The sequence below is a fragment of the Homo sapiens genome, chromosome 3, assembly GCF_000001405.40.
Source record: "Homo sapiens chromosome 3, GRCh38.p14 Primary Assembly".
NCBI classification, from domain to species: Eukaryota; Metazoa; Chordata; class Mammalia; order Primates; family Hominidae; genus Homo; species Homo sapiens.
Window position 1 is genome coordinate 119,115,826 of NC_000003.12, and position 21,583 is coordinate 119,137,408.

The 21,583-nt window shown below is 41.7% G+C and overlaps 1 protein-coding gene across 3 annotated transcripts in view, besides 1 other annotated feature; it reads right to left on the reverse strand.

Moving 5' to 3' along the window:
- IGSF11 (immunoglobulin superfamily member 11) overlaps positions 1–21,583 on the reverse strand; it is a 245,464-nt gene that overhangs the window by 215,269 nt on the left and 8,612 nt on the right. The gene's annotated exons all lie outside the window — the stretch shown is intronic.
- Positions 4,536–5,073: an enhancer, noted in NCBI's record as "OCT4-NANOG hESC enhancer chr3:118839208-118839745 (GRCh37/hg19 assembly coordinates)". NCBI's record gives its function as "activates a minimal SCP1, AML or CMV promoter by ChIP-STARR-seq in naive H9 embryonic stem cells {active_cell/tissue: H9 hESC(naive)}" and the evidence as "EXISTENCE:reporter gene assay evidence [ECO:0000049][PMID:30033119]".

Here is a 21,583-nt window from a genome sequence, read left to right on the forward strand (position 1 = left end):
TGATAAAAAAATTAGTGGTTTACCATTTGGTGTCTGCTGATTCCCTCAAAAATTTATAAAAGTGGTGCAAAACTTTATTTGCTATCACAAAAGCCTTAGGAAAACATTTTAAGTCTTAAGATTATATAATTAAGGTCCTACTTCTGAAATGACAAAACGAGGAGCTTTGTGAATTTACTCTACCTCTAAACAATAAAAATATGAGCCAAACAACTGTCATGGTTAATTTTGTTTTTCACTTAATTGCACAACAGAGTGCTCAGATAAAACATTATTTCTGGGTGTGTCTGGAAGGGTGTTTCTAGATGAGATTAGCATTTGAATTGGTGGACTCAGTAATGTAAATTATCCTTCCCAATACAGGTGGGCATCATGCAATCCATTGAGGTCCTGAACAGAACAAAAAGGCAGAAGATGAAGGAATATGCTCTTTTTTTTTCCTGCCTGCCTGCTTGAGCTGAAATATTGGTCTTTTGCTCTTGGACTGGAATTTATACCACTGGCTCCCCTGGTTCTCAGGCCTTTGAACTCAGACTGGAATTATACCACTGGATGTCCTAGGTCTCCAACTTGCAAACAGCAGATCATGATATTACTCAACCTTCATAATCACATAAGCCAATTCCTCACTATATGTAAAATCACCTTTGCAGAAATTATATCAGTGAAAAAATTATTACAGTAAACTAAGCTAAGCTAACCCCCATCTTGCCTTTCCTTTATTATTCCTGGCATATTGGGCCATGCTAACTTTGGAAGACATTCAGGCTACAGTTTAAATGATAATAGACATTGCCCAAAACTCAACTGCTTTTGTAAAGCTAATAGGAAGCCATCAGGCTAAAGGGAGGAGAGGAGCCTGAGTCCTGCTAAGGTGCAGACATTATTCCAGAGCTTATAAGATATGCAAATTCACCAATTACTCTTGCAAATAACACCATTATGGTAGATTGGCCTTTTGAGATATCTTTCCAGAATTTTTTGCATATCTGACACCCATGTCTCCACCTGGACCTGATGGCTCTACCTGAACCGACAACCCCACTCCTGTAGCCCCACCCAGAAGTGATTTGGCCTGCAGGAGGAAAGCTTTGACCCCCATGATTTCATCTCTGCCCCAGCCAATCAGCAGCAAGCACCTGGTACCTGGCCACCCCCACCCCTTTTCCCAAACTGTCCTTGAAAAACCCCTAACATATGGGCTTTGAATGAGATTATTTGAGTACAAACTTCATCTCGCACATAACATGTCCAGCTCATGTCTATTAAACTCTTTCTCTGCTACAATTTCATGGTCTCTCTTTATGCAATGGGCAGGAAGAACCCCTCAGATGATTACACATGGAGGTCAAAACACAAACTGGAAGTTATCAAAAAAAAAAAAACTACTCAATCTTGGTAAGATGGGGGAGGGGGTTGTATTAGTCTGTTTTCATCGTGCTGATAAAGACATACCCCAAAACTAGGTAATTTATACAGGAAAAGGGGTTTAATGGACTTACAGTTCCACTGGCTGGGGATGCCTCACAATAATGAAGGAAGGCAAGGAGGAGCAACTCACGTCTTACATGGATGGCAGCAGGCAAAGAGAGCTTGTGCAGGGAAACACCTCTTTTTAAAATCATCAGATCTCCTAAGACTTATTCACTATCACAAGAACAGCACAGGAAAGACCTGCCCCCCATGATTCAATTATCTCCTACCAGGTCCCTCCCACGACACATGGAAATTCAAGATGAGATTTGGGTGGAGACACAGCCAAACCATATAATTGTGCCCCTGGTCCCTCCAAAATCGCATGTCCAGACATTTCAAAACCAATCATGCCTTCCCAACAGTCCCCCAAAGTCTTAACTCATTTCAGCATTAACCCAAAGTCCACAGTCCAAAGTTTCATCTGAGACAAGGTTAGTCCCTTCCACCTATGAGCCTGTAAAATCAAAGGCAAGTTGGTTACTTCCCAGATACAATGAGGGTACAGGAATTGGGTAAATATTGCCATCCCAAATGGGAAAAATTGGCTAAAACAAAGGGGCTATAGGCCCTATGTAAGTCCAAAATCCAGCAGGGCAGTCAAATCTTAAAGCTCCAAAATGATCTCCTATGACTCCGTGTCTCACATCTGGGTCACACTGATGCAAAAGGTGGGTTCCCATGGTCTTGGACAGCTCTGCCCTTGTGGCTTTCCAGGGTATAGCTTCCTTCCCAGCTGCTTTCACGGGCTGGCATTGAATGTCTGTGGCTTTTCCAGGTGCACAGTGCAAAGTGTTGGTGGATCTAGCATTCTGGGGTCTGGAGGATGGTGGCCCTCTTCTCACAGCTCCACTTGGCAGTGCCCCAGTAGGGACTCTGTGTGGAGGCTCTGACCCCACATTTCCCTTCTGCATTGCCCTAGCAAAGGTTCTCCAAGAGGGCCCCATTCCTGCAGCAAACTGCTTCCTGGACTTCCAGGCATTTCCATACATCCTCTGAAATCTAGGTGGAGATTCCCAAACCCCAATTCTTGACTTCTGTGCACTAACGGGGTCAACACCACATGGAAGTTGCCAAGGCTTGAGGCTAGCATCCTCTGAAGCCACGGCCTGAGCTCAACTTTGGTCCCTTTCGGCCACAGCTGGAGTGGCTGGGATGCAAGGCACCAAGTCCCTAGGCTGCACACAGCACAGGAACCTTGGGCTCAGCCCACAAAATCATTTTTTCCTCCTAGGCCTCCAGGCCTCTGATGGGAGGGGCTGCCACAAAGGTCTCTGACATGCCCTGGAGACACTTTCCCCATTGTCTTAATGATTAACATTCAGCTCCTCATTACTTATGCAAATTTCTGCAGCCAGCTTGAATTTCTGCTCAGAAAAAAAATGGGATTTTCTTTTCTATCACATTGTCAGGCTGCAAATTTTCCAAACTTTTATGCCCTGTTTCTCTTTCAAAATTGAATGACTTTGACAGCACCCAAGTCATCTCTTGAATGTTTTGCTGCTTAGAAACTTCTTCTGCCAGATACCCCTAAATCATCTCTCCCAAGTTTAAAGTTCCAAAAATCTCTAGGACAGGGGCAAAATGCCACCAGTCTCTGTGCTAAAATGTAACAAGAATCACCTTTGCTCCAGTTCCCAACAAGTTCCTCATCTCCAGCTGAGACCATCTCAGCCTGGATTTCATTGTCCATATCATTATTGGCATTTTAGTCAAAGCCATTCAACAAGTCTCTAAAAGATTCCAAACTTTCCCACATTTTCCTGTCTTCTTCTGAGCCCTCCAAACTCTTCCAACCTCTGCCTGTTACCCAGTTCCAAAGCCGCTTCCAAATTTTTGGGTATCTTTTCAGCAGCACCTAATTCCTGGTACCAATTTACTGTATTAGTCCATTTTCATGCTGCTGATGAAGACATACCTGAGACTGGGTAATTTACACAGGAAAAAGAGTTTAAGGGACTTAAACTTCCACATGGCCAGGGAAGCCTCACAATCATGGAGGAAGGCAAGGAGGAGCAAGTCACATCTTACATGGATGGCAGCAGTCAAAGAGAGCTTGTGCAGGGAAACACCTCTTTTTAAAATCATCAAATCTCCTGAGACTTATTCACTATCACAAGAACAGCACAGGAAAGACCTGTCCCCATGATTCAATTACCTCCTACCAGGTCCCTCCCACAACACATGGGAATTCAAGATGAGATTTGGGTGGGGACACAACCAAACGATATCAGGGTTGTCTGTGATATTTTAAACTTGGGTCTATTCCCATGACTCCTCCCTCTCCAGCTCACTGGCAGAAGCCAAAAGCCAGCATCTTTGACTGCTTTTGGAATTCCATTACAAGAACCATCCCCAGAACACAGTCAATGTTTTGTCTGAACATGCATCTCCCAGAAAAATTTCAATTCTCAGAGTACGGTGACTACCTCACTCTGGTTCTCCTCAGAACTCAGCTTAGCAGGTGGGGGAGGGGGGTTATCCTCAGGCAATTATCAAAACAATAGCAAACTGCTGGCAACATTACAACTGCCTAAGGCTATCATGTTAGTTGGGGCAAAGAAGAGCCTGGCTTAGAATTTAAAAGAAAATTCTTGAATGACTTTGACAGCACCCAAGTCATCTCTTGAATGTTTTGCTGCTTAATCTAGTTCTCAAGAATTTGCTTAGGGAATTTTAAAAAGCTCAAACATATTCCTAAAATCTAAAAGACTGTGCACATGCCAAGGAAAGACCTGGCAAAGATGGCATCAGTCATTCGTCTCTGACTGACCTTGAGGTCCTGTCCAAGCAGGGAATAAAGCAGTCTTAAAGTGCCTGACGGCTGGAGGCATGATATCTCACACAGAACCCTTTGGCAAAGCATGAAACACTACTGTCAAAACATTTAAGAAAATCTAACCAACTATCAGTTAGCCACTAAATTATACTAATCCAAGAGTGATCCCTAGAAAGCCAGGGCTTAAAAACAAAAGCAATAACTTAAAAAAATAAAAGCAGCAAAGAACTGTGGCCATACACTACAACACAGCAAGGAATCAGTGAAATGGCTTCTTTGTCTGGGGTATATACCCTGGTTCTTCGTCTTGGCTGAGAAAGAATTCAGAACATGGACACACATGAGGAGTGGATTTAGGAGTGGAAGGTTTAATAGGCAAAAAAGAAGAGAGAGAAAAAAGGTTTCCTCATGCTGAGAAAGCAAGTCTCCCAAGAAAAGGTCTCTGGTTTGCAGTGGAATGCAATCAATTGTGTACAGAGGCTTAAGAAGGTGGTGATTGATCTACATAGGGATCAGGGGATCAGTTTGACCAGGTGTGCCATTTACATAGCCCGTGAAAAGATTGGCCTCCCACCCTAACCTTTTGTTATACAAATGTGGCTTCTACCTGGTGGGTCACCATGATACCTGTACAGGTTTTACCTGAAGGTTGCCATGACACCAGCACAAATGGTGACAAGGAAAAGAGGGCAGGAGACACCATATTGAATGTACCTGGCTTCCAGGTACAGCTGATGGAATTTACATATAAAAGATCCTAGTTTACGTAACTATGACTTACTCTTCAGGCTGCTTTCTGTTAGAGAAGAAATGGTTTGGGGTTGCTTTTTAATAAAGGAAAATTCTACTGAGAACTCTTTTACCCTTTCTAACTGCCTAAAACTAGTATCTTAATAACTCCTGTATTATCATGACCTATAGAATTAATACAGAAAAATCAAACAGACACAAATAAACAACAAGAAAAACCACAGCCAAAATGGCAATAATGACAAACCTTAGGGGATAGAAGAATCTGATATCAGAGTTGTTAAAATATATTTTCTAAAATGTCCAGCTTTCAATGAAAAATTATGACACTTATGAAAAAAACAGGAAAATATCACATGTACATTGAAAAAAGCAACTAATAGAAAATATCCATGAGGGGACCATTTTGGATTTAGCAGAAAAAGATGTTAAATTAGCTACTATTAATGTGTCCAAAGAGGTAAAGGAACCATGAGTAAAGAGCTAAAGGAAGCCAGGAGACTGTCTCAACAAATAAAGGATAGGAATAATGAGATAAAAATTATTAACAGGAACCAAATGAAAATTCTGCAGCTGAGAAGTACAATAACTAAAATGAAAAATTTATTATAGTGTTTTAATAGCTGATTAGAGCAGGCAGAAGAATTATCAAATTTAAAGATAGGTAGGTCAACTGAAATCATTCAGTCTGAGGAGAAGAAAGAAAAGAGAATGAAAAGAAGGGGAGCAGAGCCTCAGAGATATACAAGAAACTACCAAGTATACCGCATATGCAAAACAGAGGCCCAAGAAAAAGAGGAAAAAGAGAATGGGACTGAAAGAAAATTTGTGACTAAAAACTCTGAGTTGATAAACATAAATGAGTCTGTAAATCCAAAAAGCTCAATGAACTCCGAGTAGAATAAACTCAGAGATTTCCACCAAGACATACTCAAGTCAAATGGAAAAAAGTCAAACACTAAGAGAGAATCCTGAAGGTGGCAAGAGAAAAACAACCTACCATGTACAAGGAATCCTCAACAAGATTAATAGCTGACTTCTTATAAGAAACCATGGGGGCCAGAAGACAGAGGGATAAGATCTTCAAAGTGTTAAAAGAAAATGACAGTCAACTAAGAATTCTGTCCAAAGAATCTCTCATTTAAAAATGAAGAAGCGAGGTGAAGCAAGATGGTGGAGTAGAAGGTTGCACTAATTGTCCCTCATGTAGGAACATCAAATTTAACAAGTATCTACACAAAAAAGTACATTCATAAAAACTAAAAATCAAGTAAGCACCACATAGTACCTGATTTTAATTTCATATTTCTGAAAGAGGCACTGAAAAGGGCAGGAAAGTGTCTTGAATTGCTGATGTTACCCCTTCCCAAACTCCTGGCAGCAGCTACATGGCATGGAAAATCTGTGCACTTGGGTAGAGAGAACACAGCAATTTGGGGACTTTGCATTGAACTCAGTGCTGCCCTCTCACAGAAGAAAACAGAACCGAACTGTATATAGCTGATACCTGCCCACAAAGAAAGCATTTGGACTGGCCCTAGCCAGAGGGAAATTGCCCATCCCAAAAAAACTTAAGTTCTAGAAAGTCTTGCCACTGTGGGTTGAAATGCACTGGGGCCCTAAATAAACTTGAAACGAAGTCTAGGCCACAAGGACTGCAACTCCTAGGTGAGTCCTAGCACTAAGCTGGGCTCAGAGCCAGTGGACTAGGGGAGCACATGACCTTACTATCAGCCAGGGCAGCTAAGGGAATGCATATACCGCCCCTCACCCAACTGCAGGCTGTACAGCTCACAGTTCCAAAAGAAACTCCATCCTTCCTCCTGGGAGAAGAGAGAATTTTGTCTTGCATTTTGGGTACCAGCTCAGACACGAGGATGGGGCACTGGGCAGTCATGAGGCCCTAGCTCTCAGACATTTCTAGACATACCCTAGGCCAGAAGTGAACCCACTGCCTTGAAGGTCCCATCACCTGCTGACTAAGAAGCCCTTGGGAACTGAATAACCAGCAGTGATACCCAGGTAGTACTCTGTGAGTCTTGGGGAGACTCTCAACCATGCTGGCTTCAGGCGAGACACAGCATATTCCCAGCTGTGGTGGCTATGGTGAGAGGCTCCATCTCCTTGAGAAAAGCAGAGGGAAAAGTAAAGGGGACTTTGGCTTGCATCTTAGGTACTAGCTCAGCCACAATGGGGTAGAGTACCAGTTGGGCTCTTAAGAATCCTGATTCCAGGCCTTGGTTCTTGGATGGCATTTCTAAACCCATGCTGGGCCAGAGGGAAGCCCACTACTCTGAAAAGTGAGTCCCAGCCTGGCACCATTCACCACAAGCTTCCTGAGGAGCCCATGCACCTTACGTGAACACTGGTGGATGCCTGGCAGTACTTTCCGTGGGCCTGTGGTGGTAGCGGCCACAGGGTCAGGTTCCTTTGCCTGTGTAAAGAGGAGGGAAGAATGGGAAGGACTATGTCTTGTTGTTTGAGTGCCAGCTCAACAGCAGTACAAGAGAACACCAAGTAGATGTCTAAGGTTTTTTACTCCAGTCCCTGGTTCCTGGACAACATCTCTGGACCCACCTGGCACCTGAGGTAACTCACTGACCTGAAAACAAGAACTCAAGCTTGACTAGCTTTGCCGCTTGCCACCTGCTGATTGTACAGCCCTAGGGCCTTGAGCGAACATAAGCAGTAGCAAGGGAGTGATTACAGCAAGCCTTGGGCAAGATCCAGTGCTGTATTGGCTTCAAGTATGATGCACTGCAGCAGTCCCAGTGGTGATGGCCACAGGGCTGCTTCTGTCATCCCACTCCCAGCTCCAGGAAGCTCAGCACAGAGAGAGAGAGAGAGACTGTTTATTTCAGAGAAAGAGAAGAGAACAAGAGTCCCTACCTGGTAATCCAGAGAATCCATCTGGACGTTATCCAAGACTGCCAAGGTAGCACCTCGATGACTCTACAAGAACCACAATGTTACTGAGCTCAAGGTGCCCCCTAATGTAGATATGGCTTAGGTCATAGTACCCAAATCCTTTTGATTACAGGGAAAACCTTTCTGAAAAGGATGGGTACAAATAAGCCCAGACTGTGAAGACTACAATAAATACCTAAGCCTTCTGCCCAGACGCCAAAGAACATCTACAAGCATCAACACCATCTGGGAAAACATGACCTCAACAAACAAGCTAAATAAGGCACCAGGGACCAATCCTGGAGAAACAGAGATATGTAACTATTCAGACAGAGAATTCAAAATAACTGTGTTGAGGAAATTCAAAGAAATTCAAGATTTCTTTGAAGGAATTCAGAATTCTATCACAGAGATAGAGAAGGAATTCAGAATTCTATCACATAAATTTAACAAAGAGATTGAAATAATTAAAATAAGCACACATTCTGGAGCTGAAAAATGAAACTGAAATGTTAAGAAACACATCAGAGCCTTTTTTTTTTTTTTTTTTTTTTTGAGATAGTTTCTTGTCACCCAGTCTGGAGTGCAATGACGTGATCTCGGCTCACTGCAACCTCCACCTCCCGGGTTCAAGCGATTTTCATGCCTCAGCCTCCCAAGCAGCTAGGATTACAGGTGCCTGCCACCATGCCTGGCTCATTTTCATATTTTTAGTAGAGACGGGGTTTCACCATGTTGGTCAGGCTGGTCTCAAACTCCTGACCTTAGAGTTCGAGACCAGCCTGGCCAACATGGTCATCAGAGTCTTTTAATGGCAGAATAAATCAAGCAGAAGAATGAATTAGTAAGCTTGAAGACAGACTATTTGAAAATATACAGTCAGAAGAGACAAAAGAAAAAAGAATAAAAAATAACGAAGCACACCTACAGGATCTAGAAAATAGTTTCAAAAGGGTAAATCTAAGAGTTATTGGCGTTAAAGAGGAGCTAGAGAAAGACATAGGCATAGAAAGTTCACTCAAAGGGATAATAACAGAAAAGTTCCTAAACCTAGAGAAAGATATCAATATCAGAGTACAAGAAGATTATAAAACACCAAGCAAAGAAGACTACCTCAAGGAGGTAATAAATAGTAATCAAACTCCCAAAGGTCAAGTATAAAGGATCCTAAAAGCAGCAAGAGAAAAGAAACAAATAAATACAATGGAGCTCCAATACATCTGGCAGCAGACTTTTCAGTGGAAACCTTACAGGTCTGGAGAAAGTGACACAAATTTAAAATGCCAAAGGAAAAAAACTTTTACCCTAGAATAGTATATCTGGCAAAAATGTCTTTCAAACATGAAGGAAAAATAAAGACTTTCCCCGACAAACAAAAGCTGAAGGACTTCATCAATACCAGACCTGGTTCTATAAGAAATTCTAATGGGAGTACTTCAGTCAGAAATAAAAGAATGTTAATGAGCAATAAGAAATCATCTGAAAGGGCCGGCAGTGCCAAGATGGCCAACTAGAAGCAGCTGCGTTTGGAGGCTCCTGTTATGCGCGTTCGTATAAGAGACGAACTGAGCAGACTTAGTGTGAGAAACAAGGCTGTTTATTCACTTGGGTGCAAGTGGGCTGAGTCCGAGAAAGGGGTCTGCAAAGGGTGGTGGGATTATCATTGGTTCCTACAGGTTTCAGATAGGCAGTGGAGTCAGGAGCAATTTTTTAAGGGCAGGGGATGGACGTTACAAAGTATATTCACAAGGGCGGGGAGGAATGTTAAAAAGTACATTCACAAGGGCGGGACGGTGTATTGTCACAAGGGCAGGGAGGAATCTTACAAAGTACATTCACAGGGATGGGGAATATCACAAAGTACATTATCACAAGGGCGGGGGAATGTCACGATGGCCTGACCATGGTGCGGCCAGCTCAGAGGACTTTACAGCTCCCATCAAAAAAAATCATAATACGCCTGTGAATCCTTCACCGGCAACCAAGGTATCCAGGTTCTCTCATCAAAATTGAGTAGAAGGCTGGCATGACCCACGGAGAGAAGGGAGAGCAGTGTGGTGCTGCAGCCTACCTGAGAGCCACGTGGGGAAGGGGAACCACCTCTCCCCAGCCAAGGGAGGCGGTGAGTGAGCATGCTACCCAGCTGGGGAAACCGTGCAACCCACAGATCAGAAGACCCCGCTCGCGAACCCATGCCACCGGGGCCTAGCATCCCAGTCCTGGAATGCGTGGATTCTTACAGCTTTTCAGCTGGAATCTGCTTAAGCCTACCAAACTCCTGTGGGGAGGGGCGACCAGCACCGGCTGCTGCTGCCTGCTCTCTAAGCTGTTTGAGCTCCTCGAGGGAGGGGCAGCAGCCAGCACTGGGACTCACAACTGCCTAACATGCTCCCTGCGTGGGAGAAGAGTGACACCCATTTCTATAGCTCCAGGCTGCGCTTTTCCGCTGCTGGAGCCAGGGAGGCTGGACGGCTTGGTCCCAATACTTGTCCCCACAGCCTAACACATTGGCTATGGCAGTCAGCAGCCAGAGTGCCTCTTCAGGTCTAACCCTGACCCATCCTTCCTCAGTGGGCGGGGCTTCCCTGCAGGATCTCCAGTAACTCCAGCCAGAGGCTCAGGGACAGAATTCAGATCTCCCTGGGCCTGAGCCCCTAAGGGGAGGGATGGCTGCAGTCTCTGCAGACCAGCAAACTTAGCTGATCCTCCTGGTGGTTCTGAGGAATCCAGGCAGCCCAGACAAGTGGGTTTCCCCCCACAAAACACACCCTCTCCACCAAGGGACAAAGTGCTTCATTAAACGAGTCCTGCTCCCTGTACCACCCAACTGGGTGAGGCACTCCAACAGGGGTTGTCAGATACTCTATATAGGAACGATCCTACTGGCATCAGGGTGGTGCCCCTTGAGGTCAGAGGTCCCAGAAGAAGGAGGAGGCACCAATCTTGGCTGCTCTCCAGACTCCTTGAATGACATCTCCAGGCACGGGAGCAAATCAGATAAGGCCTGAAGCAAATCCCCAGCAAACTGCAGCAGCCCTAAAGAAGAGGGACCTGACTATTGAAAGAAAAACAAGCAGAAAGTGACAACAACAGCATCAACAACAACAACAACAAAAAGGCATCTACAAAAACCCCATCCAAGGGTCAGCAGCCTCAAAGTCCAAAACTAGACAAACTCACAAAGATAAGAATCAATGAAAAAATGCTGAAAACCCAAAAGGTCAGAGTGCCTCTTCTCCTCCAAATGATTGCAATGTCTCTCCATCAAGGGCACAGAACTGGATGGAGGATCAGATGAAAGAATTGACAGAAGTAGGCTTTGGAAGATGGGTACTAAAAAACTATGATGAGTTAAAGAAGCATGTTCTAACCCAATGCAAAGAAGCTAAGAACCTTGATAAAAAGTTAGAGGAATTGCTAACTAGAATAGCCAGTTTAGAGAGGAACATAAATGACCTGATGGAGCTGCAAAACACAGCACAAGAATTTCATGAAGAATACACAAGTATCAACAGCTGAATCAACCAAGCGGAAGAAAGGATATCAGTGTGAAGACCACCTTACTGAAATAAGACATGCAGACAAGAATTAAAAAAAAAAATGAAAAGGAATGAAAAAAGCCTCCAAGAAATATGGTACTTCATAAAATGACCAAATCTACGATTGATTGGAGTACCAGGAGACAGGGAGAATGGAAACAAGATGGAAAACACACTTCAGCATATGATCCAGGAAGATTTCCCAGGATATGATCTCCTGGGAAGATCCAGGAGAACTTCCCCAACTTTGCCAACATGCAAATTCAGGAAATACAGAGAACACCATTAAGATAGTCCACGAGAAGATCAACCCCAAGACACACAATCATCAGATTCTCCAAAGTCGAAATGAAGGAAAAACTGTTAAGGGCAGCCAGAGAGAAAGGCCAGGTCACCTACAAAGGGAAGCCCATCAGACTAACAGCAGACCTCTCAGCAGAAACTCTACAAGCCAGAAGAGATTGGGAGCCAATATTTGACATTCTTAAAGAAAACAGTTTTCAACCCAGAATTTCATATCCAGCCAAATGAAGCTTCATAAGCAAAGGATAAATAAAATCCTTTCTAGACAAGCAAATGCTAAGGGATTTCATTACCAGCAGGCCTGCCCTGCAAGAGCTCCTGAAAGAAACATTAACTATGGAAAGGAAAAGCCGGTACCAGCCACTGCAAAAACACACCAAAATATAAAAACTAATGACACATGAAGAAACTGCATCAACTAGTGTGCAAAACAACCAAAGAGCATCATGATGACATGATCAAACTCCAAACGTAACAATACTAACCTCAAATGTAACTGGGACTGGGCACAGTGACTCACACCTGTAATCCCAGCACTTTGGGAGGCCAAGGCAGGTGAATTACCTGCAGTCAGGAGTTTGAGACCAACCTGGCCAACATGGTGAAAATCTATATCTATTAAAAATACAAAAATCAGCTGGGTGTGGTGGCAGGTGCCTATAGTCCAGCTACTAGGGAGGCTGAGGCAGGAGAATTGTTTGAATCTGGGAGGTGGAGGTTGCAGTGAGCTGAGAGCATGACACTGCACTCCAGCCTGGGTGAGAGTGAGAAAGAAAGAAAGAAAAGAAAGAAAGAGAGAGAGAAACAGAGAAAGAGAGAGAGAGAAAGGAAGGAAAAGAAAATGTAACTGGGCTAAATGCCCTAATTAAAAGACACAGACTGGCAAAAAAGGAGTCAAGACCCATTGGCGTGCTGTATTCAGGAGAAGCATCTTATGTGCAAAGACACACACAGGCTCAAAATAAAGGGATGCAGGGAAATTTGCCAAACAAATAAAAAGAAAAAAAAAGCAGGGTTGCAATCCTAGTCTCTGACAAAACAGATTTTAAACCAAAAAAGATCAAAAAAGACAAAGAAGGGTATTACATAATGGTAAAGGGAACAATTCAACAAGAAAAGCTAACTATTCTGAATATATAGGAGTGTAAATTAGTTCAACCATTGTGGAAGAGAGTATGGCAATTCCTCAAGAATCTAGAACCAGAAATACCATTTGACCCAGCAATCCCATTACTGGGTGTATTCCCAAAGGAATATAAATCATTCTACTATAAAGACATATGCACATGTATTTTTATTGCACCACTATTTACAATAGCCAGGACATGGAACCAACCCAAATTCCCATCAATGACAGGCTGGATAAAGAAAATGTGGACATATACACTATGGAATACTATGAAGCCATAAAAAATGAGATCGTGTCCTTTGCAGGGACATGGATGAAACTGAAAGCCCTCATCCTCAGCAAAGTAGCGCAGGAACAGAAAACCAAACACCGCATATTCTCACTCGTAAGTGGGAGGTGAACATTGAGAAAACATGGACACAGAGAGGGGAACAACAACACCAGGGCCTGTTGTGGGGTGGGGGTGAGGGGAGAGAACTTAGAGGATGAGTCAATAGGTGCAGCAAACCACCATGGCACACGTATACCTATGTACCAAACCAGCCCGTTCTGCATACATGTATACATGTATCCCGTTTCTTTTTTAGAAGAAATAAAGAAAAATAAATCATCTAAAGGTATAAAATTCACTGGTGATAGTAAGTACACGGAAAAATACACAGAATATTATAACACTATAACTGGGGTATGTAAACTACTCTTATGTAGAAAGACTAAAAGATGAACAAATCAAAAATCATTACTAAAATATGAGCCATTTGAAAATAATAATTTTTCAAAAAATAGTACTATAAGATATAAATAGAAACAACAAAAAGTTAAAAAGCAGGGGGATGAAGTTAAGGTGTAGAGATTTTATTAGTTTTTGTTTGTTTTCTTATTCAAACAGTGTTAAGTTGCTATAAACTTAAAATAACTGATTATAAGATAGTATTTGCAAGCCTCATGGTAACCTCAAATCAAAAAACATACAATGGATACACAAAAAATAAAAAGCAACCATGTACAATGGCTCATACCTGTAATCTCAATGATTTGGGAGGCCAAGATAGGTGGATCATTTGAGCCCAGGAGTTCCAGACCAGCTTGGAAAATATAGTGAGACACTGTCTCTGAAAAGAATTTAAAAATTAGCCAGGTGTGGTGGCAAATGCCTGTAGGCCCAGCTACTCAGGGAGCTGAGGTGAGAGGATTGCTTGAGTCCAGGAGGTCGACGCTGCAGTAAGCCATGATCACACCACTGCACTCCAGTATGGGCAACAGACCAAGACTCTGTCTTAAAAAAAATTTTTTTTAATTAAAAAAATTAAAGCAAGAAATTAAATCATACCACCAGAGAAAATCACCTTCACTAAAAAGAAGACAGAAAGGTCTGGTTTCTGTTCCAAGATGGCCGAATAGGAACAGCTCCAGTCTGCAGCTCCCAGAATGATTGATGCAGAAGATAGGTGATTTCTGCATTTCCAACTGAGATACCTGGTTCGTCTCACTGGGACTGGTTGGAGAATGGGTGCAGCCCACAGAGGGTGAGCCAAAGCAGGGCAGGGCATTGCCTCACCCAGAAAGTGCAAAGGGTTGGGAGATTTCCCTTTCCTAGCCAAGGGAATCCATGATAGACTGTACCTGGAAAATCGGTACACTCTTGCCCAAATACTGCACTTTTCCCATGGTCTTAGCAACGAGCAGACCAGGAGATTCTCTCCTGTGCCTGGCTCGGCAGGTCTCATGCCCACAGAGCCTTGCTCACTGCTAGCGCAGCAGTCTGAGATGGAATTGCAAGGCTGCAGCCTGGCGGGGGGAGGGGCATCCACATTACTGAGGCTTGAGTAGGTAAACAAAGTGGTCAGGAAGCTCGAACTGGGCAGAACCCACCACAGCTCAGCAAGACCTACTGCCTCTGTAGACACCACCTCTGTGGGCAGGGCATAACTGAACAAAAGGCAGCAGACAACTTCTGCAGACTTAAACGTCCCTGTCTGACAGCTCTGAAGAGAGCAGTGATTCTCCAGACAGACTGCCTCCTGAAGTGGGTCCCTGACCCACATGTAGCCTAACTCAGAGACACCTCCCAGTAGGGGCCAAAAGACACCTCATACAGGCAGGTGCCCCTCTGGGACGAAGCTTCCAGAGGAAGGATCAGGAAGCAATATTTGCTGTTCTGCAATATTTGCTGTTCTGCAGCCTACACTGGTAATATCCAGGCGAACGGCCTGGAGTGGACCCCCAGCAAACTCCAACAGACCTGCAGCTGAGGGATCTGACTGTTAAAAGGAAAACAAAGAGAAAGGAATAGAATCAACATCAACAACAAAAAAATCCTCACCAAAACCTCATCAGTAGGTCACCAACATCAAAGACCAAAGGTAGATAAAACCACAAAGATGGAGAGAAATCAGAGCAGAAAACCTGAAAATTCTGAACACAAGAGCGCCTCTTCCCCTCCAAAGGATCGCAGCTCCTTGCCAGCAACAGAACAAAGCTGGACAGAGAATGACTTTGACAAGTTGACAGAAGTAGGGTTCAGAAGATCAGTAAATAACAAATTTATCTGAGCTAAAGGAGGATGTTCTAACCCATCCCAAGGAAGCTAAAAACCTTGAAAAAAAGGTTAGATGAATGGGTACTAGAATAAACAGTGGAGAGAAGACCTTAAATGACCTGATAGAGCTGAAAACCATGGCACAAGAACTTCATGATGCGTACACAAGCTTCACAGCAGATTCATTCAAGTGGAAGAAAGGATATCAGTGATTGAAGATCAAATTAATGAAATAGCGAGAAGACAAGATTAGAGAAAACAGAGTAAAAAGAAGGGAACAAAGCCTCCAAGAAATATGGGACTATGTGAAAAGACCAAATCTACGTTTGACTGGTGGACCTGAAAGTGATGGGGAGAATGGAACCAAGTCAGAAAACACTCTTCAGGATATTATCTAGGAGAACTTCCCCAACCTAGCAAGGCAGGCCAACATTCAAATTCAGGAAATACAGAGAACACCACAAAGATACTCCTCAAGAAGACTAACCCCAAGACACATAATTGTCAGATTCACCAAGGTTGAAATGAAGGGAAAAAGGTTAAGGGCAGCCAGAGAGGAAGATCAGGTTACCTACAAAGGGAAGCCCATCAGACTAACAGCAGATCTCTTGGCCAAAACCCTACAAGCCAGAAGAGAGTGAGGGCCAATATTCAACACTCTTGAAGAAAAGAATTTTCAACCCAGAATTTCATATCCAGCCAAACTAAGCTTCATAAGTGAAGGAGAAATAAAATCCTTTACAGACAAGCAAATGCTGAGAGATTTTGTCACCACCAGGCCTACCTTACAAGAGCTCCTGAAGGAAGAACTAAATATGGAAAGGAATGACCAGTACCAGCCACTGCAAAAACATGCCAAACTGTAAAGACCATCGATGCTATAAAGAAACTGTATCAATTAATGGAAAAAATAACCAGCTGACATCATAATGACAGGATCAAATTCACATATAACAATATTAACCTTAAATGTAAATGGGCTAAATGCTCCAATTAAAAGACACAGACTGGCAAATTGGATAAAGAGTCAAGACCCATCAGTGTGCTATATTCAGGAGACCCATCTCACATGCAGAGACACATATAGGCTCAAAATAAAGGGATGGAGGAAGGTCTACCAAGCAAACAGAAAGCAAAAAAAAAAAAAAAAAAAAAAAAAAAAAGCAGGGGTTGCGATCCTAGTCTCTGATAACACAGACTTTAAACCAACAAAGATGAAAAGGGACAAAGAAGGCCATTGCGTAATATTAAAGGGATCAATTCAACAGTAAGAGCTAACTATCCTAAATAGATATGCACCCAATATGGGAGCACGCAGATTCATAAAGCAAGTCCTTAGAGACCTATAAAAGACTTAGACTCCCGCATAATAATAATGGGAGACTTTAACATCCCACTGTCAATAGTAGACAGATCAATGAGACAGGTTAACAAGGATATCCAGGACTTGAACTCAGCTCTACACCAAGCAGACCTAATAGACATCTACAGAACTCTCCACCCCAAATCAATAGAATATACATTCTTCTCAGCACATCACACTTACTCTAAAATTGACCACATACTTGGAAGTAAAGCACTCCTCAGCAAATGTAAAAAAATGGAAATCACAACAAACTATCTCTCAGACCACAGCACAATCAAATTAAAACTTAATACTAAGAAACTCACTCAAAACCACACAACTACATGGAAACTGAACAACCTTCTCCTGAATGGCTACTGGGTAAATAACAAAATAAAGGCAGAAATAAAGATGTTCTTTGAAACCAATGAGAACAACGACATAACATACCAGAATCTCTGGGACACATTTAAAGCAGTGTGTAGAAGGAAATTTATAGCACTAAATGCCCACAACTGAAAGCAGTAAAGATCTAAAATCAACACCATAACATCACAATTAAAAGAACTAGAGAAGCAAGAGCAAACAAATTCAAAAGCTAGCAAAAGGTAAAAAATTACTAAGATCAGAGCAGAACTGAAAGAGATAGAGACACAAAAAAACCCTTCAAAAAATCAATGAATCCAGGAGCTGGTTTTTTGAAAAGATCAACAAAATTGATAGAACGCTAGCAAGACTAGTAAAGAAGAAAAGAGAGAAGAATCAAATAGGGGTGCAATAAAAAATGATAAAGGGGATATTACCACCAATCCCACAGAAATACAAACTACCTTCAGAGAATACTATAAACACCTCTATGCAAATAAACTAGAAAATCTAGAAGAAATGGATAAATTCCTGGACACATGCACCCTCTCAAGAATAAACCAGGAAGAAGGTGAATCTCTGAATAGACCAATAACAGGTTCTGAAATTGAGGCAATAATTAATAGCCTACCAACCAAAAAAAGTCCAGGACCAGACGGATTCACAGCCAAATTCTAAAAGAGGTACAAAGAGGAGCTGGTACCATTCCTTCTGAAACTATTCCAATCAATAGAAAAAGAGGGGATCCTCCCTAACTCATTTTATGAGGCCAGCATCATCCTGCTACAAAAGCCTGGAAGAGACTCAACAACAAAAAGAGAATTTTAGACCAATATCCCTAATTAACATCGATGCGAAAATCTTCAATAAAATACTGGCAAACCGAATCCAGCAGCACATCAAAAAGTCTATCCACCATGATCAAGTTGGCTTCACCCCTGGGATGCAAGGCTGATTCAACATATGCCAATCAATAAACGTAATCCATCACATAAACAGAACCAAAACCACATGATTATCTCAACAGATGCAGAAAAGGCCTTTGACAAAACTCAACAGCCCTTCATGCTAAAAACTCTCAATAAACTAGGTATTGATGGAACACATCTCAAAATAATAAGAGCTATTTATGACAAACCCATAGCGAATATCATACTGAATGGGCAAAAACTGGAAGCATTCCCTTTGAAAACCACCACAAGACAAGGATGCCCTCTCTCACCACTCCTTTTCAACATGGTGTTGGAAGTTCTGGCCAAGGCAATCAGGCAGGAGAAAGAAATAAAGGGTATTCAATTAGGAAAAGAGGAAGTCAAAGGGTCCCTGTTTGCAGATGACATGATTGTCTATTTAGAAAACCCCATCGTCTCAGCCCAAAATCTCCTTAAGCTCATAAGCAACTTCAGCAAAGCTCAGTATACAAAATCAATGTGCAAAAATCACAAGCATTCTTATACACCAATAACAGACAAACAGAGAGCCAAATCATGAGTGAACTCCCACTCACAATTGCTACAAAGAGAATAAAATACCTAGGAATCCAACTTACAAGGGATGTGAAGGACCTCTTCAAGGAGAACTACAAACCACTGCTCAATGAAATAAAAGAGGACACAAACAAATGAAAGAACATTCCATGCTCACAGATAGGAAGAATCAACATCATGAAAATGGCCATACTGCCCAAGGTAATTTATAGATTTAATGCCATCCCCATCAAGCAAAATGACTTTCTTCACAGAATTGGAAAAAACTAAAGTTCATATGGAACCAAAAAAGAGTCCACATAGCCAAGACAATCCAAAGCAAAAAGAACAAAGCTGGAGGCATCACGCTACCTGACTTCAAACTATACTACAAGGCTACAGTAACCACAACAGCATACACAGATACACAGACCAAAACAGATACACATACCAATAGAACCGAACAGAGGCCTCAGAAATAACACCACACATCTACAACCATCTGATCTTTGACAAACCTAACAAAAACAAGAAATGGGGAAATGATTCCCTATTTAAAAGTGGTGCTGGGAAAACTAGCTAGCCATATGTAGAAAGCTGAAACTGGATCCCTTCCTTACACCTTACAGAAAAATTAATTCAAGACGGATTAAAGACTTAAATGTAAGATCTAAAACCATAAAAACCCTAGAAGAAAACCTAGGCAATACCGTTCAGGACATAGGCATGGGCAAGGACTTCATGGCTAAAACACCAAAAGCAATGGCAACAAAAGCCAAAATTGACAAATGGGATCTAATTAAACTAAAGAGCTTCTGCACAGCAAAAGAAACTACCATCAGTGTGAACAGGCAACCTACAGAATGGGAAAAAATTTTTGCAATCTACCCATCTGACAAAGGGCTAATATCCAGAATCTACAAAAAACTCAAACAAATTTACAAGAAAGAAACAAACAACCCCATCAAAAAGTGGGCAAAGGATATGAACAGACACTTCGCAAAAGAAGACATTTATGCAGCCAACAGACACATGAAAAAATGCTCATCATCACTGGTCATCAGAGAAATGCAAATCAAAATCACAATGAGATATCATCTCACGCAGGTTAGAATGGTGATCATTAAAAAGTCAGGAAACAACAGATGCTGGAGAGGATGTGGAGAAATAGGAACGTTTTTATACTGTTGGTGGGAGTGTAAATTAGTTCAATCATTGTGGAAGACAGTGTGGCAATTCCTCAGGGATCTAGAACTAGAAATACCATTTGACCCAGCCATCCCATTACTGGGTATATACCCAAAGGATTATAAATCATGCTACTATGAAGACACATGCACACGTATGTTTACTGCAGCACTATTCACAATAGCAAAGACTTGGAACCAACCCAAATGTCCACCGATAATAGACTAGATTAAGAAAATGTGGCACATATACACCATGGAATACTATGCAGCCATAAAGAAGAATGAGTTCATGTCCTTTGCAGGGAAATGGATGAAGATGGAAACCATCATTCTAAGCAAACTATCACAAGGACAGAAAACCAAACACCACATGTTCTCACTCATAGGTGGGAACTGAACAATGAGAACACTTGGACACGGGGAAGGGAACATCACACACCAGCACCTGTCATGGGCTTGGGGGCTGGGGTAGGGATAGCATTAGGAGAAATATCTAATGTAAATGACGAGTTGATGGGTGCAGCGAACCAACATGGCACATGTATACCTATGTAACAAACCTGCACATTGTGCACATGTACCCTAGTACTTAAAGTATAATAATTAAAAAGAAAAAAAGAAGACAGAAAGGAAAGAAAGAAGGAAGAGAAGACTACAAAACAACCAGAAAATAAATAACAAAACAGCAGGAATCAGTTCTTGTTTATCAATAATAATGTTGAATGTAAAGGGACTTAACTCCTCAATAAAAAAGACATACAGTGGCTGAATGAATAAAAAGAAAAACATGACCCAATGATCTGTTGCCAATAAGAAACACACTTCACCTATGAAGGCACACATAGACTGAAAATTAAGGGATGGAAAAGGATATTCCATGTCTATGGAAATCAAACAAAGAGCAGGAGTAGCTATATTTATATCAGACAAAATAGATTTCAAGACAAAAACTATAAAAAGAGACAAAGAAGGTCACTATATAAAGATAAAGGGATCAATTCAGCAAAAGTATATAACAATCATAAATACATATGCACCTAACATGGGAGCACTCATATGTTATTAGAGGTAAAGAAGGAAATAAACCCCAGTACATTAATAGCTGAAGATTTCAACACCCCGCTTTCAGCATTGGACAGATCTTCCAAACAGAAAATCAACAAAGAAACTTCAGATCTTTGTCTGCAGATCCAGATATAATCTTGTATTTGGAAAAACCTCGGGACTCCACAAAAAAAAACTATTAGAACTGATAAACAAATTTAGTAAAGATGCAAAATACAAAATCAACATACAAAAGCCAGTAGCATTTCTATGTGCCAACAGCAAGCAATCTGAAAAAGAAATCAAGAAAGTAATGCCATTTACAATAACTAAAAATAAAATTATGTGCCTAGGAATTAATTAAAGTGAAAGATCTCTACAATAAAAGCTATAAGACACTGATGAAAGAAATTGAGGAGGACACCAAAAAGTGGAAAGATATTCCATGTTCATGGATTAAAAGAATCATTATTTTTTAAATGTCCATACTACCCAAAGCAATCTATAGATGTAATGCAATCCCTATCAAAATACCAATTATATTCTTCACAGAAATAAAAAAAAAATCCTCAAATTTATATGGAACAACAAAAGATCCAGAATAGCCAAAGCTATCCTAAGCAAAAAGAAAAGTGGAGGAATCACATTACCTGTCTTCAAATTATACTAAAGATCTATAATAATCAAGATGGCATGATACTGGCATAAAAACAGACACATAGACCAGAGGAACAGAATAGAAAACCCAGAAGT